We start from the raw sequence: 14803 nt of genomic DNA, 5'->3' as shown, positions 1-14803 counted from the left end.
GTCCTGACTGCTAAAGTGTTCTTTTTTCTCTCTTTAGAACTGCTCTTGCCTTAGCACAAAGAAATTAGATTTTGTTACATAAAGAAAACGGACACTATCACAGTACAGCACTATTTACTGTAATAAGAATAATGATTAAAAGTACTCTTTTCAAGATATATAATGCCAATAAGTAATCCAGATTACTGAGGAAAGTGACCTATTAAGCAACATAATAGATTATTTACAAAACTAGAGTCTCTTGGTCTACTTTAGCTTTCATAATCCCCAACTTCACCAACCCAGTGATGGTTCAAGCAGACTCAGGAACAAAGAACTGCTTTCAATGTAATCTGAATGATATCCCATGGACTGACCAAAAAATAGAAACTAACTTCTAAGCAATCTATAACACTGCCTCTAACCAAGAGCTGAAAATTCAAGTGGAAGTTTCCTCTCATTTCTCTCTTAACAATATAAAATTATAGCCATAGATTTCTCTTGGATACAAATGGCTACACTTAAAAAAAGGGTCCATGGTCAAACAATCCAACCAGTCCAAAGTATTTACAAATAAAACACCGACAGTAACATTACTATTCAGTGTCCAAGTTTTCAGAAAAAAATAATCACAAAAGGCAAGAATTCATAGACTAGGTAATAAATAAGAAGCATTACATTATCATCAAATACCTCAATAAGCTCTCTGCACACAGATGGAGGGAATGTAAGCATCAAAGCATTATTACATCACTAGCATGTTGGGAAGCCAGAGTCGACAATATGAGGCAGAAGTGGTCCTTCTCACAGGATCTAAGGTTGATGCCAACCCATCCTTACTTCTGCCATCAATTTTACACTTACAGTCAAAGAACAACATGCAGCTAATGGAGATTCAACACTTCTAGTCAGCAAATAATATTCCAGCCACACTTAATTAGAAAGTAACTGATTGGCGTCACACTTAGAATCCAATTCCAGTACAGCAAAGTGGTTCAGTCACTCAGTTGTTAAACAAATATTTATTGAACACCACTATGTCCAGGCAATATTCTAGACAGCAGTGATTATAGGAACAATTAAAACACAGTATCTCTGTCCTCTGGTGCCAAACAACCTAGGTTCAAATCCTGGCTCCACCATTTGTTAGATGAGTGACCTTGCAAGATTACGTAACCTCTATTACAATTAATATGCGACCAGTTATAGTATCTACCTCACATTATTTTGTGAAGATTAAATGAGTTTATGTTTACAAAGGGTTTAAAACAGTGACATCAGATGGCCAACTAGCAGCTCCTAGCATTCACCCCCCTCAAAACAACACCCAAAACAACGACTAAACAACTACATTTTAATAAAAATAATTGAGATAGAGTGCCAAAGCGCATCAGAGGAGTTACAGAAACCCTGGTGACAAATCTCAGGCTGGCCACATGGAAAACAGAAGGAAACACCAGGCCTCCACCACCCTATACCCCAACCAGGATCACCCGGGAACCAGGACAAACCTCCCTACTTCGAGGAGGTAAGCAAGAGGATTTCAGCAACCCCCATCAACACCTTGGACACATACAGACCTCACCACTGTCCCTGCAGTTCTCATAGGCACTAGGCCCAGCTGAGGGACCTGCCTAGAATCCACATTGCTGTGCTCCCTCCAAGAAGGGGACGAGACTGTGACCTGCCCTCTACAGCCCATGCAACTACTGTGCTATACCATCTTGGAAATGGAACCATGGCTGGAGTGTGTCTTGCTCCTAGTGTGAGCGGCCACAGCTTCCCTTCATCCCCAAGGCTAAGTCACCACCAAACTATCACAACCAATTGGCCAGACATCCCCAAGCTGCAAGCAACTGTTATACCCTTACTCATGGGGCCAAGGAGAGAGGAAGCCACTCCATCTACCCCTCTTCTCTCCCTGTATTAGCCCATACTTGCACTGCTATAAAGGACTACCTTTACAGGTTTAATTGGCTCATGGTTCTGCAGGCTGTACAGGAAGCATGGCTGGCGGTGGGGGGCAGGGCGGGGGGTGGGTGGTTCAGGAATCTTACAATCATGGCACAGAGCAAAGAGAAAGGAATCATATCTTACATGGCGAGAGCAGGAGGAAGAGAGCAAAGGGGGAGATTTTAAACAACCAGATCTGTGAGAACTCACTCCCAAGAACAGCAAGGGGGAAATCCCCCCACTCACCCCCCCGCCCCCCGCCAATCCAATCACCTCCTACCATGCCCCTCCTCCAACACTGGGGACTACAATTAGACACGAGATTTGGGGGGGGACACAAATCCAAACAATATCACTCCCCTTCCAGGGAAAACAGTACCTTCGCTGCTTAGAGGAGTCACCCCACACTAGTGCCCAACTTGAAGCGGTGCCCTGAATCCAAGGAAATGGCACCCAGAGCAGTCACGCATCCAAGTGCTTTAGCAGAAGTGGTGCCCTGCATCCCAAGGAATCAGTGCCTGGACTGTCCAGAAAAGTCATGCCCCTCAGGCCTGCGCTGAAGCAGCACATTGCCCCTGGGGAACTGGTGCCCTAAACCAGCTGAGCATCCCAGGGCTGAGCCGACATAGTACCCTGCATCCAAGGGAAACAGAACAGTGGCTGAGCAGAGACATTCGCCGTACAGGCCAAACAACTCTAGTATTCTGTTTCCCTAAAGCTGGATTCTCTAGAGTCTGAACTGCTGAGACACTCCTCTCCTTGCAGAGTAGAGTAATCGCTGTGCTGTTCCCTCCCCTCCCCAGGGCCCACACAACAGCTGTGCTCTGCCATTCTGGGATATGTGCTGCTGTTGCACCTGGCTTCACAGAGCCTAGGATACTGCCAAGCTCCACCATCCGGGGGCCTAGAGTCATTACTGCATGGTGCCTCATCCTCTAGGCTCCAACTTGCCACTGAGCCCTATTGGCTCAGGTTCCCAAATTGTAGCTACATACACCCTGCTCCCTGGGCCCAAACCTCCAGAGCACCCCTTCTTCCCAATCACGCCAATGCTGTGCCCTGCCCCCTAAGGAAAGAATCATAACCTCAACCTAGGCCCCTGGGCCAAAGCTACTGGGGTGCCTCAGAGTCACAGATCCTGGCTTTATGGGCAACTGACATCCAACTCTGCCATAGAGAACAAAGCCAGGCACTCAATACATCCCAAGATCCAGGTGCCACAGTAAGTTCACAAAACCCTGAGCCTGGGACCCCAGCCCCACAGCCACCGCGAGCACCTGTACCTGGAACCCAGTGCCACAGTAGCTGCTCGTACACTGTGTCATACCTGACACAACCAGGGACCCAGTCAGCTAAGTCTCCCTACTGTGAGAAAAACAAGAAGAGGAGGACCCCAAAAACCCTTGACACCAAGGACCTACATGACTGCCACAACTACCACAAACTTCTACAGCCTAGGCAACTGAGGCACCCAAAGTTACTGCTGATGTTGAACACAGGTGAAGAAGCTGCACGAAGACTGTACTATTGCTCCTACTGGACACAGAGCCAACACACACTCCCTAACCAGCACACTAAAATCCAACTGCAAGGGAAAGTCTCTATAAAAGCCATTCAAAAGACTGTAGAAGAGGTGATTGTCCCACCACATGCACAGACATCAAAACAGGGACATAAGAAACATGAGAAAGCAAGTAAATATGACACCAAGAAAGGAATATAACTCTTTAACACTAGAACCCAATAAAAAGGAAGTCAGTGTGAGCCCAGGAGTTCGGGACCAGCCTGGACAACGTAACAAGACCCTATCTCTACCCACCCCCGCTCCCAAAAAAAAAAAAAAGCTGGATATGGCATGCCTGTAGCCCCAGCAATTTGGGAGGCTGAGATGGGAGGATCACTTGAGACTGCCGAGAAAATGCCACTGCACTCTGGCCTGGGCGACAGAGCAAGACCCTGTCTGAAAAAAAAAAAAAGAAAAAGGAAAAAAAAGGGGGAAATCAACAAACTGCCAGAAAAAGAATTTAAAATCTAGGCCCAGATGCAGTGGCTCACACCAGTAATCCCAGCTACTTGGTTGTGGGGGCGGGGGCGCAGGGACGGGGCTAAGGCTCAAGAATCATTTGAACCTGGGAGGTGGAGGTTGCAATGAGCCAAGATCATGCCACTGCACTCCAGCCTGGGCAACAGATGACAGCGAAAGTCTGTCTCAAAAAGATAAAATAAAATAATTATCTTAAGGAACCTCAAAGAGATACAATAAAATACAAATAGAAAATTCACCAAAATCAGGATGTAAATGAGAAATTCAACAAAAAGAATGCATGAAGAAGAACCAACAGAAATCATGCAGCTAAAGAATTTAATGGTGAAAACAACGAAGAATTCAATAAAAAATACAATAGAAAGTTTCAAAAGATTTCACCAAGAAAAAGAAAATCTCAGAACTTGAAGATAGGTAGCTTGAAATTACCCAGAGGAAAAACAAACAAACAAAAAACAATGAAAAAGAGTGAAGAAAGCCTGCAAAACTTATAGGATAGCATTAAATCAACCAATATTCCCATCATGGGAATTCCAGAAGGAGAAAAGAAAAGGCATAGAAAACCTATTTAATTAAATAATAGCTGGAAACTTCCCAAGTCTGGGGAGAGATATGGACATACAGATCCAAAAAGCCCAAAAAGTCCCCAAAGAGATTGAATCAAAAAAGTAGTTATAATTAGTGGGTAGTTATACACCCAAGGCACATTATAGTCAAATTGTCAAAAGTCAAAAGACAAAGATAAAATTCTAAAGACAGCAAGTGAAAAGCATCAAGTCACATAAAAGGGAATTCCCATTAGAATAACGCAGATTTCTATGCAGAAACGCTACAGGCCAGGAAAAAATGGAATGTTATATTCAAACAGACAAACGGAATTATATAAACTAAAAATCTTCTGCACAACAAAGGAAATAATCAACAGAGTGAAGAGCCAACCTGAAGAACAGGAGAAAATATGTGCAAACTATTCATCTGATAAGGGATTAATATCTAGAATATACAAACAACTCAAACAACTCAACAGCAAAAACTCAAATAATCTGATTTTAAAATGGGCAAATGTAGCCGGGCACGGTGGGTCACACCTGTAATCCAGGCACTCTGGGAGGCCAAGGCAGGTGGATCACTTTTGAGGCCAGGAGTTCGAGACCAGCCTGGCCAACATGGTGAAAACCTGACTCTACTAAAAATACAAAAATCAGCTGGGCATGGTGGCGCATGCCTGTAGTCTCAGCTACTCAGGAAGCTGAGACAGGAATTGCTTGAACTTGGGAAGTGGAGGTTGCAGTGAGTCGAGATTGCACCACTGCACTCCAGCCTGAGTGACACACTAAAACTCTGTCTTAAAAAAAAAAAAGACAAATGAGCTAAACATACATTTCTCAAAAGAAGACATACAAATGACCAACAGGTATATGGAAAGATCCTCAACATCACTAATCATCAGAGAAAAGCAAATCAAAACCTCCAAGAGGTTATCATCTCATTCTAATTAGAATGGCTATTAGCAAAACGAAAGGAAAAAAAATGCTGGTGGGAATGCAGGGAAAGGGGAACACTCTTATACACTGATGGTGGGAATGTAAATCAGTACAGCCATTATGGAAAATTGTATGGAATTTCCTCAAAAAACTAAAAATAGACCAATCATATGATCCAGCAATCCCACTACTGGGTATCCAAAGGAAAGGAAATCAGTAAGTCAAAGAGAGACATGCATTCCTGTGTTTACTGCAGCTCTATTCACAATAGCCAAGATATGGAATCAACCTAAGTGTCCATCAACAGACAAAATGTGGCATATATTCACAATGGAATACTATTTAGCCATTTAAAAAAGACAAAATTCTGTCATTCATGGAAACATGGATGACCTCAGAAAACACTATGGTAAGTCAAATAAGCCAGGCACAGGAAGATAAATACCACATGTTCTCACTTACATGGAAGCTTAAGAAGTTGACTCATAGAAGTGAGGAAGGGTAGTGCGGAGAGGTGGGTAGCCAAAGGTTAGTTATCAGATACAAATATACAGTTAAATAGGAGGAATAAATTCTACTGAAGGAGGCCAATGGACAGTGCCCAAAAGAAATAATGAAGTTTCCATCAGGCTGGGCCCTTAGGACAAAATTAGTATTTGTTTAATTTCCAAGAAAAGCATTCGTCTACTGGAATATACACCAAGGCCCAAGCCTATAAAAGACCATTTTGTGAACGGGGGTACACAGGAGCCCACAACCAGTCTACTCAGTGAATTCTCTTTCAGGAGGCTAAGGCTAAAAACTTAGGCCCAAGGAAAACTACAAATGACTCATGACTTACTATAAACCCAAGAAAATGCGAATACGTATCATTCAAAATTCTGGCAGAAAAAAATAGAATAAAATCAAATCGGGTGACTCAAAGGCAGTTTAGAGACTATACTATCATACATAGGTATGGACAAAATACAGAAAAACTACAAAGCTGGTAGGACACTTAGGAATGAAGGGACAAGAGGAGGCAGCAGTTACCAAAACCAGGGAGCAAGATGTGTAGAGAATGCCATCACTTTTAGCAACCCAGGGCACCCAGCAGGAAAGAGGCCTAAGAGTAACACCCTAGCATCACTCTATCTCCTTTGACCTCCTGCTGGTGCTCCCACTCACCAAGCCCAAGCAGGAGCCCACAAATGAAATCCAGGCAGGTTAGGTTCCTGGGGCAGAGAATAGGGTAAACAAGGGTGGGAAACAATATGGAAGGGCAAACAGAAGATTATCCAGCATGTATATAATAATTCCAATATTTCTGTGACATCTTATTTCAGAAAACTTTGGCATTTGCTACTACTTTCAAAAAAAAACACATGAAAAAAATACATAAGGGATTATGTTCAAGGAACTCTTCACAGATCCATGGAACATGGTATTAAAACTTAGGCATTGAGAAGTATTTGGCTTTGGAAAAAAGAAAAAAAACAACTCAGGTAGCATTACTTTCTAGTAAGTTTCTTGAATAGCATACAAAATTCCAGACAGAGTGTGGTGGCTCATGCCTGTAATCCCAGCACTTTGGGAGACCGAGGCAGGTGGATCACAAGGTCAGGAGTTCAAGAGTAGCCTGGCCAAGATGGTGAAACCCCGTCTCTACTAAAAATACAAAAATTGGCTGGGTGTGGTGACAGGCGCTTATAGTCCCAGCTACTCGGGAGCCTGAGGCAAGAGAATAGCTTGAACCCAGGAGGTGGAGGTTGCAGTGAGCCGAGATCGCACCACTGCACTCCAGCGTGGGCGACAGAATGTGAGTCCACCACAAAAAAAAACAAAAAAAAACCCATCTATTTACTTATTCCGCCATTTTGCAATGATGCACAATAGTGGCAATCTTAATGTTTATTTTGTCTAAATAACAGTCAGTCTTCATAAACCAAGCTCAGACTACGTTTTAAACCAGTAGGACTATTTGCCAAATTGTATCTTTTAAATATAACTTAATATTTACTTCACATATTCAAAAGAGAATTTGTATCAAACCCATTAATTAAAATAAATTGTGAATGTAATTTGGCCGGCTTGCCACATTTATAGGATTACCATTCTATTAAACAAGTTCTTCTCAGGATCAATTAGCTCCAGCAAAAAGAAAAGATACTTATAATTTATATGATGGAGACTAAGCCAATACAAAAATAAATTATAAAAGCACACTGACGGGAGGCTGAGGCAGGATAATCACTTGAACCCGGGAGGCGGAGGTTGTGGTGAGCCGAGATTGCACCATTGCGCTCCAGCCTGGGCAACAAGAGCGAAACTCCATCTCAAAAAAAAAAAAAAAGCACACTGAGCCTACACTAACTTGGGTATACCAACCTAGCTATATTACCATGTATAATCTTAAGTACTAGAAATGCAAAACCAGGATCTCATATATAAGTTAGTCTGATCACATCTTATGACTTGAAATATAAGCAATAAACTATTATTCACCAACTGCCTACTGAGAAGGGCCTTCTTAGTGCCTGGCACTATATTAAACACTGTACATATATTATTTATTTGAATCCTCTCAACCCTATGGCATAGATTTTTAATACTAATGTAAATATAACCAAATGACTAAGAAGCCCCCAGAAAAGAAGCTGTCATATATTAGACTTTAATAGCATTTAGCTAGCCACAGTGGCTCATGCCTGTAATCCCAGTACCTTGGGAGGCAGAGGTAGGAGGATCTCTTGAGCCCAGGAGTTCAAGACCAGCCTGGCAACATGACAAAATCCTGTATCTACAAAAAGTACAAAAATTAGCCGGGTGTGGTGTCCTGTGCCTATAGTCTCAGCTATTCAGGAGGCTGAGGTGGGAGGATCACCTGAGCCTGGGGAAATCGAGGTTACATGATGCCACCACTGTACTCCAACCTGGGCAACAGAGTGAGATCTCCTGCCTCAAAAAAAATTTTTTTATGTGTTTACTGACAACCATCTTGCTGTAATGAAAAAAGTCTATAGCAGTCATAGCACGTTGCCTACCCAAATCCATTCCCTACTCCCACTACTCCCAACCCAACTTTCTACTACCTGTCAGACCTTTTGTCGGGTGTTTCTGTCCTCAGGAAAGCTACCCCTTAACCCAGAGCAGAAGGTGGATCTGGATTATTCTGAGTCAGGCAGACTCCTTTCCTCTTGCCAGGGATAACTGAGGAATAGGCATGTTGCACAATTCAGATTTAGGACAAGTCTACTAGGAGCTTCTAGATTGTTTGCTTATAAAGAGAGACATATGGAAGGAACAGTCCTTTTTGTTCTCACTGGACATATTATGTGCAGATGTCATGCAAAGAGCCTCTGCAGCCACCCAGTGCCAGGCACACTGAAGACGATAGTGATGAAAAATATCAAGAACCTGGATCCTTGATGATACTGCAAAGCCCTTATATTTAACAACCCTGAAGTCACTTAGCCTAACTCAGGACTTATACTTAATGAGAAAATAAATCCCCCATTTTTCAAGCAGTTTGGGAGCTGGGTTTTCTGCAAACTCCAGTGCAAAGTATCCTAACTGATAAAGGTACTAGCTAACAACAACTATTCTTCTTGGGGCTTGTTTTAAAGTAAGAATGTAAAGCGTAAGCTTGATCAGGACTATGAAAGATATAAGAAGATGGATAGCAATATATGGATCTTCCTTGAAGAATATACACCTGAAATACACAGCGTCCAACAGCAAGGGCACAGGAAGGGTTTCAAAGCACACCAACAGTGAAAATGCCGAAGGGTCAAAGGGCTACTGGAGCTTGGAAAAGTTAACACTGATCCTCATGCCACACAATGGAAAATACTAATAACAATAAGAAACAGTTAAAAAGTAACAAGACACGGGGCTGGTGGGGCAAGGTATGGAGATACTTTCTGATACAGAGATAATTCCAGTATATTTAAATGGATTAAGATTTTATTAAAAATCTGAACAAAACTGCACCACTAATTCAGGTTAATCCTTAAATACACAAAGACCTATTACCTCTCCAGACACTACCTTCATCACAAGTTGTCAAGCTACTTAAGATAAAATGTTCACAAGAATTAAAATAGGAGCATAACATGAATGCAATGTAATTACAACTTTATTAACAGCACAATACTGAAAAGACACCTTAGTTTAAATGTTTTAATGGAACTATATTGGCGAAGGTAAGTAATGGTACTTTCAGAAAACACACAGAATGAGTTTTTCCCTCTAGATAGTAAAATGAACAACTTTAATATATCCCCAAATCATGACTGTACCTGTTGTCTTTTGGCTGCCATAATGTTCAGCTTATCCACTTCAGGTTTTAGGGCTTTATACTGGATTCCTAAGTCTTGTTCATTGCCAGCATTCCTCAACTTCAAGATACCATCTTCCACCTATAAAATAAGAAAGACCCCAAAACCCAAAAATTCTGAATGTAGGTCTGTAAAGAAGATGGCATCCTAGGAATTTTCATTCCTGTTAACAACTACTCAAAAAGCAACCCAAACTTAGCTCTCGAGTTTGCGCATGGTCTTCTAACATTTAAACAGCAATTACACAGGAGCTTCATAGTGGGAAAAACACTAATATTGGCCTCTAAAAGTACAAAATTCCCTCCCCCTTCCCCTCCCTCTCCCTCTCCCCACGGTCTCCCTCTCCCTCTCTTTCCACGGTCTCCCTCTGATGCCGAGCTGAAGCTGGACTGTACTGCTGCCATCTCGGCTCACTGCAACCTCCCTGCCTGATTTTCCTGCCTCAGCCTGCCGAGTGCCTGCGATTTGCAGGCGTGCGCTGCCACGCCTGACTGGTTTTCGTATTTTTTTGGTGGAGACGGGGTTTCGCTGTGTTGGCCGGGCTGGTCTCCAGCTCCTAACCGCGAGTGATCCGCCAGCCTCGGCCTCCAGAGGTGCCGGGATTGCAGACGGAGTCTGGTTCACTCGGTGCTCAACAGTGCCCAGGCTGGAGTGCAGTGGCGTGATCTCGGCTTGCTACAACCTCCACCTCCCAGCCACCTGCCTTGGCCTCCCAAAGCGCCGAGAGTGCAGCCTCTGCCCGGCCGCCACCCTGTCTGGGAAGTGAGGAGCGTCTCTGCCCTGGCCACCCATCGTCTGGGACGTGAGGAGCCCCTCTGCCTGGCTGCCCAGTCTGGAAAGTGAGGAGCGTCTCTGCCCGGCCGCCATCCCATCTGGGAAGTGAGGAGCGCCTCTTCCCGGCCGCCATCCCACCTAGGAAGTGAGGAGCGTCTCTGCCCGGCCGCCCATCGTCTGAGATGTGGGGAGCGCCTCTGCCCCGCCGCCCCGTCTGGGATGTGAGGAGCGCCTCTGCCCGGCCGCGACCCCATCTGGGAGGTGAGGAGCGTCTCTGCCCGGCCGCCCCGTCTGAGAAGTGAGGAGACCCTCCGCCTGGCAACCGCCCCATCTGAGAAGTGAGGAGCCCCTCCGCCCGGCAGCCGCCCCATCTGAGAAATGAGGAGCCCCTCCGCCCGGCAACCACACCGTCTGGGAAGTGAGGAGCGTCTCCGCCCGGCAGCCACCCCGTCCGGGAGGGAGGTGGGGGTCAGCCCCCGCCAGGCCAGCCGCCCCGTCCGGGAGGGAGGTGGGGGGGTCAGCCCCCTGCCCGGCCAGCTGCCCCGTCCGGGAGGGAGGTGGGGGGGTCAGCCCCCTGCCCGGCCAGCCGCCCCGTGCGGGAGGTGAGGGGCGCCTCTGCCCGGCCGCCCCTACTGGGGAAGTGAGGAGCCCCTCTGCCCGGCCGAAACCCCGTCTGGGAGGTGTACCCAACAGCTCATTGAGAACGGGCCATGATGACAATGGCGGTTTTGTGGAATAGAAAGGGGGGAAAGGTGGGGAAAAGATTGAGAAATCGGATGGTTGCCGTGTCTGTGTAGAAAGAAGTAGACATGGGAAACTTCATTTTGTTCTGTACTAAGAAAAATTCTTCGGCCTTGGGATCCTGTTGATCTGTGACCTTACCCCCAACCCTGTGCTCTCTGAAACATGTGCTGTGTCCACTCAGGGTTAAATGGAAAAAATAAATAAATAAATAAAAGTACAAAATTTAATGTATCTTGGTTTCTCAACTCCAGAACTCTACAAGGAAAATATTTAATCATTACTGGAAAAAGGGAAGGAGTCAAAACAGTATCTTTGCTACAAGTTCTTCATTACAGCCAAGACAACACTGGCTCAGAACAGAGCCAGGATGATATATACTTGGAATAGAGGAGTAAGTGGAAATTAAACAAAAACATCTCTGGTCCATTGAGATAAACCAAATTCAAAACCAAACTAAATCCTAAGGAATACTGAACTAAGGAAGGCCAGTAGCAATCTTCCTGTGATAGAACAAATTACAGACATAGGCCTGTATACTTACAACTTTCAGCTGAACAAGTAATTTGTAGACATCTGCCATGTCAGCCAAAATCAGCAACCGGGTAACAGCAGAGAGCAAAGCTCGAGCTGCCCGAACCATGTTGCCTCGCTTCACAGAAGAGCAGGGATCATCTGCGAACTCTCCTGCAGCAGCCTTCATCAAATCACCTGTTTTACAGAATGAAAAACAAACTCAGCAAGAATGAACTCAAATAACTGATCTACATTTTTAAAAATATAAAAATAATCCAAACTTTGTATATTTCATGCACAAATTTAGTTTAAGAGTTTTCATTTTTGTTGTTGTTTGCTGTTCCTTTGTTTGTTTTATAGCTATCACTAAAAAAAGCACCTTCATATATTGCTGGTGAAAGCAAAATATCTGGAAAGTGACTTGGCACTATATATCAAGAGGCTTAAAAATATTTCCCTTTGATCTAATAATGTTCCTTTAAAAAAAAAAGGGCATTATATGTATCCAAAAAAAAGAAAAATTCAAGATTTGAACAGGAGAAAAAACATATCTAATAAAATCTACTCTCACATCCATAGAATACAGAAACAGGGCCACAATTATGCAGAACCACCACACTTCATTAATCATCCCAACTACATGATGTGTACAGCCATAACAGAGACTCACTGGTATGTGAAAATACAGAGCTCAGCCATTGATTCATTCATTTCCTTCACAGAACACTACCAAAAGCTCACATGCTCAATAAGCATCTAGTTAAGTAAATTATGGTATGGCCTACAATTGACTATTATGAAAATATTTATATATATGAAAAATGTTAAGCAGAAACAAATGAAATCATAAATGTATGCTTCTTTTTAAATACAGAGGAAAGACTGGAGTCAAAAGGCAAATAATAGTTATCATTGGGTTACACACGGCCTCTTTACATTTCGTACTTATAAAAAGTTTCTATAATGAAGAGGTATTGTATCTATAATTTTTTAAAAACTAGCTAAAAACATATAAAATAGATTTTACTATAGCTTATAGGAATATCCAACTTATACAATCCTGAGCTCAAGAATTTATTTATAGGCTGGGCATGGTGGCTTACACCAGCAATCTCGGCGCTTTGTGAGGCCAAGGCAGGAGAATCTCTTGAGCCCATGTGTTTGAGGTTGCAGTGAGCCATGATTGCACCACTGCACTCTAGCGTGGGTGATAGAACAAGACCCTGTCTCTTTAAAAAAATTTTTAAAAATAATTTATAACATTTCCTAGAAACTTGTGAAACTTATACTTTCTGTCATTTGTGTCTTAAAATTATTTACAGTGCCCATTGCCACTCTTTTCTTACAGCTAGAAGCAACTAAAGGGCCAGTGTTGTGTCTTGTCCACTGGTTATACAAATAGGGCCTCTATGGAGACTATCTTTGGAATCCTGGAAAAGCAATTACTCCCTCCTTTGGCTAAGCAAGCCCACTTCAGTTCACATTAAAGCCTAAAACCCATTCACACTCTCATGTCTTCCCTGAATTTTTTTTTTTTAAGGCACTTTCAAGAAGACTAGCTATTTCTCAACAGACCTATCAAATTTCTCCTAGCTATCATCTTTGGATGCACAACACAAGCAGAAGAGGGGGGAAAAATTGCCTCACATGCATATATTAATTAGGCTTAGAAGCACTGTATAATTCTAAGAGTAAAGATACGCTCCACATATTTGTCAGGCCAGAAAAAAACTTCCAATGAATTATATAGTTAAAAGGTTTTCCTGGATCTAACACAGTCTTCTCTCTTACATCTTCAGGAAGATACAGACATATGGCAATCATTATGTGGATTCGTAACATTAATGCTAGTATCTTCTGGTATTTTAAAAGATGGAGATCATTCATTCTTTTATTTGTTCAACAAATGTTTGAGCACCCATCGCACATCAAGGGCATACCCTACTGGAGCTCTATGGAGGGAAGGAGGGAGACAAAAAATTAACAACTGGTTAAGACACGGCATTTGGTCTCAAAGGGTTCACAAATTATAGAGTATTACAATGCACCCAAAAATTAAATAGCCTTGTGAACAAGGTGCTCTGGAAATACGCTGAAGAAAACTATTTACTCAGGGAAGAATTTATCTGAAAAGCCATGCAGAAAGAGATATTTGCCTTAAAAATATATTAATAATGTCTTAGGCTGGGCACGGTAGTTCACACCTGTAATCCCAGCACTTTGGGAGGCTGAGGTGGGTGGATCACCTGAGGTCAGAAGTTTGAGACCAGCCTGGCCAACATGGTGAAACTCCGTCTCTACTAAAAAAATACAAAAAAATAGCCAGGTGTGGTGGCAGGCACCTGTATTCCCAGCTACTCGGGAGGCTGAGGCACAAGAATCACTTGAACCTGGGAGGCGGAGGTTGCAGTGAACCGAGAACACGCCACTGCACTCCAGCCTGAGCAACAAGAGTGAAACTCCATCTCAAATATATATATATAAATACTGTCTTAAACAATATTACTACCAAACAAGAGAGAATAAGCAAGAGATGTTGACCCTATATAATAAGCAGAACTTCACCTAATTTAGCACTTACTACACACTAAAAACAAACAAATCCACTTCCAAAACACAAAGCTGAACATAACATCCCTGCCTTCAAATAATTTATCCAGAAAAGATGGATTTGACCATTAAGAAATTATGTGGCATTTTAACATACAAGCTGTAAGAAAGAAAACACAAGGTGTCATGGGAATTCAAAGGAGGAAGCACTAACAACTAGTTTAGGGAAGAAATGAATACCAGCAACAGCTTTATGGAAGGCTTGGTACTCTGAAATGAACCCATCCCTCAAAGGAGAGGAAGGATGTGGGCAGCAGAGTTAAGGGAGTTACCACCTCAAGCAGAAGGAACAGTAACATAATAATGTCCAACACTGGCTGGGTGCAGTGGCTCACACCTATAATCCCAGGACTTTGGGAGGCTGAGACCGGTGGATCACTTGA

The 14803-nt window shown here is 43.2% G+C and overlaps 1 protein-coding gene across 9 annotated transcripts in view; it reads right to left on the bottom strand.

Annotated features, from left to right (window-relative positions):
- The window catches only part of CTNNA1 (catenin alpha 1), a 181610-nt gene that overhangs the window by 112992 nt on the left and 53815 nt on the right, over positions 1-14803 (bottom strand). For 8 of the 9 annotated variants that reach the window (NM_001323982.2, NM_001323984.2, NM_001290307.3 and 5 more), the window contains 2 exons: positions 11839-12005; positions 9741-9860 (listed from right to left, as the gene is read on the bottom strand). In NM_001323982.2, the coding sequence (NP_001310911.1) occupies positions 9741-9860; positions 11839-12005 (287 nt within the window). The remainder of the gene's footprint in view (positions 1-9740; positions 9861-11838; positions 12006-14803) is intronic. The other variant, NM_001290310.3, reaches the window with a different exon arrangement.

Source organism: Homo sapiens, chromosome 5 (assembly GCF_000001405.40).
Source record: "Homo sapiens chromosome 5, GRCh38.p14 Primary Assembly".
Lineage (NCBI taxonomy): Eukaryota > Metazoa > Chordata > Mammalia > Primates > Hominidae > Homo > Homo sapiens.
This window is presented reverse-complemented; position numbering and strand designations above follow the sequence as displayed.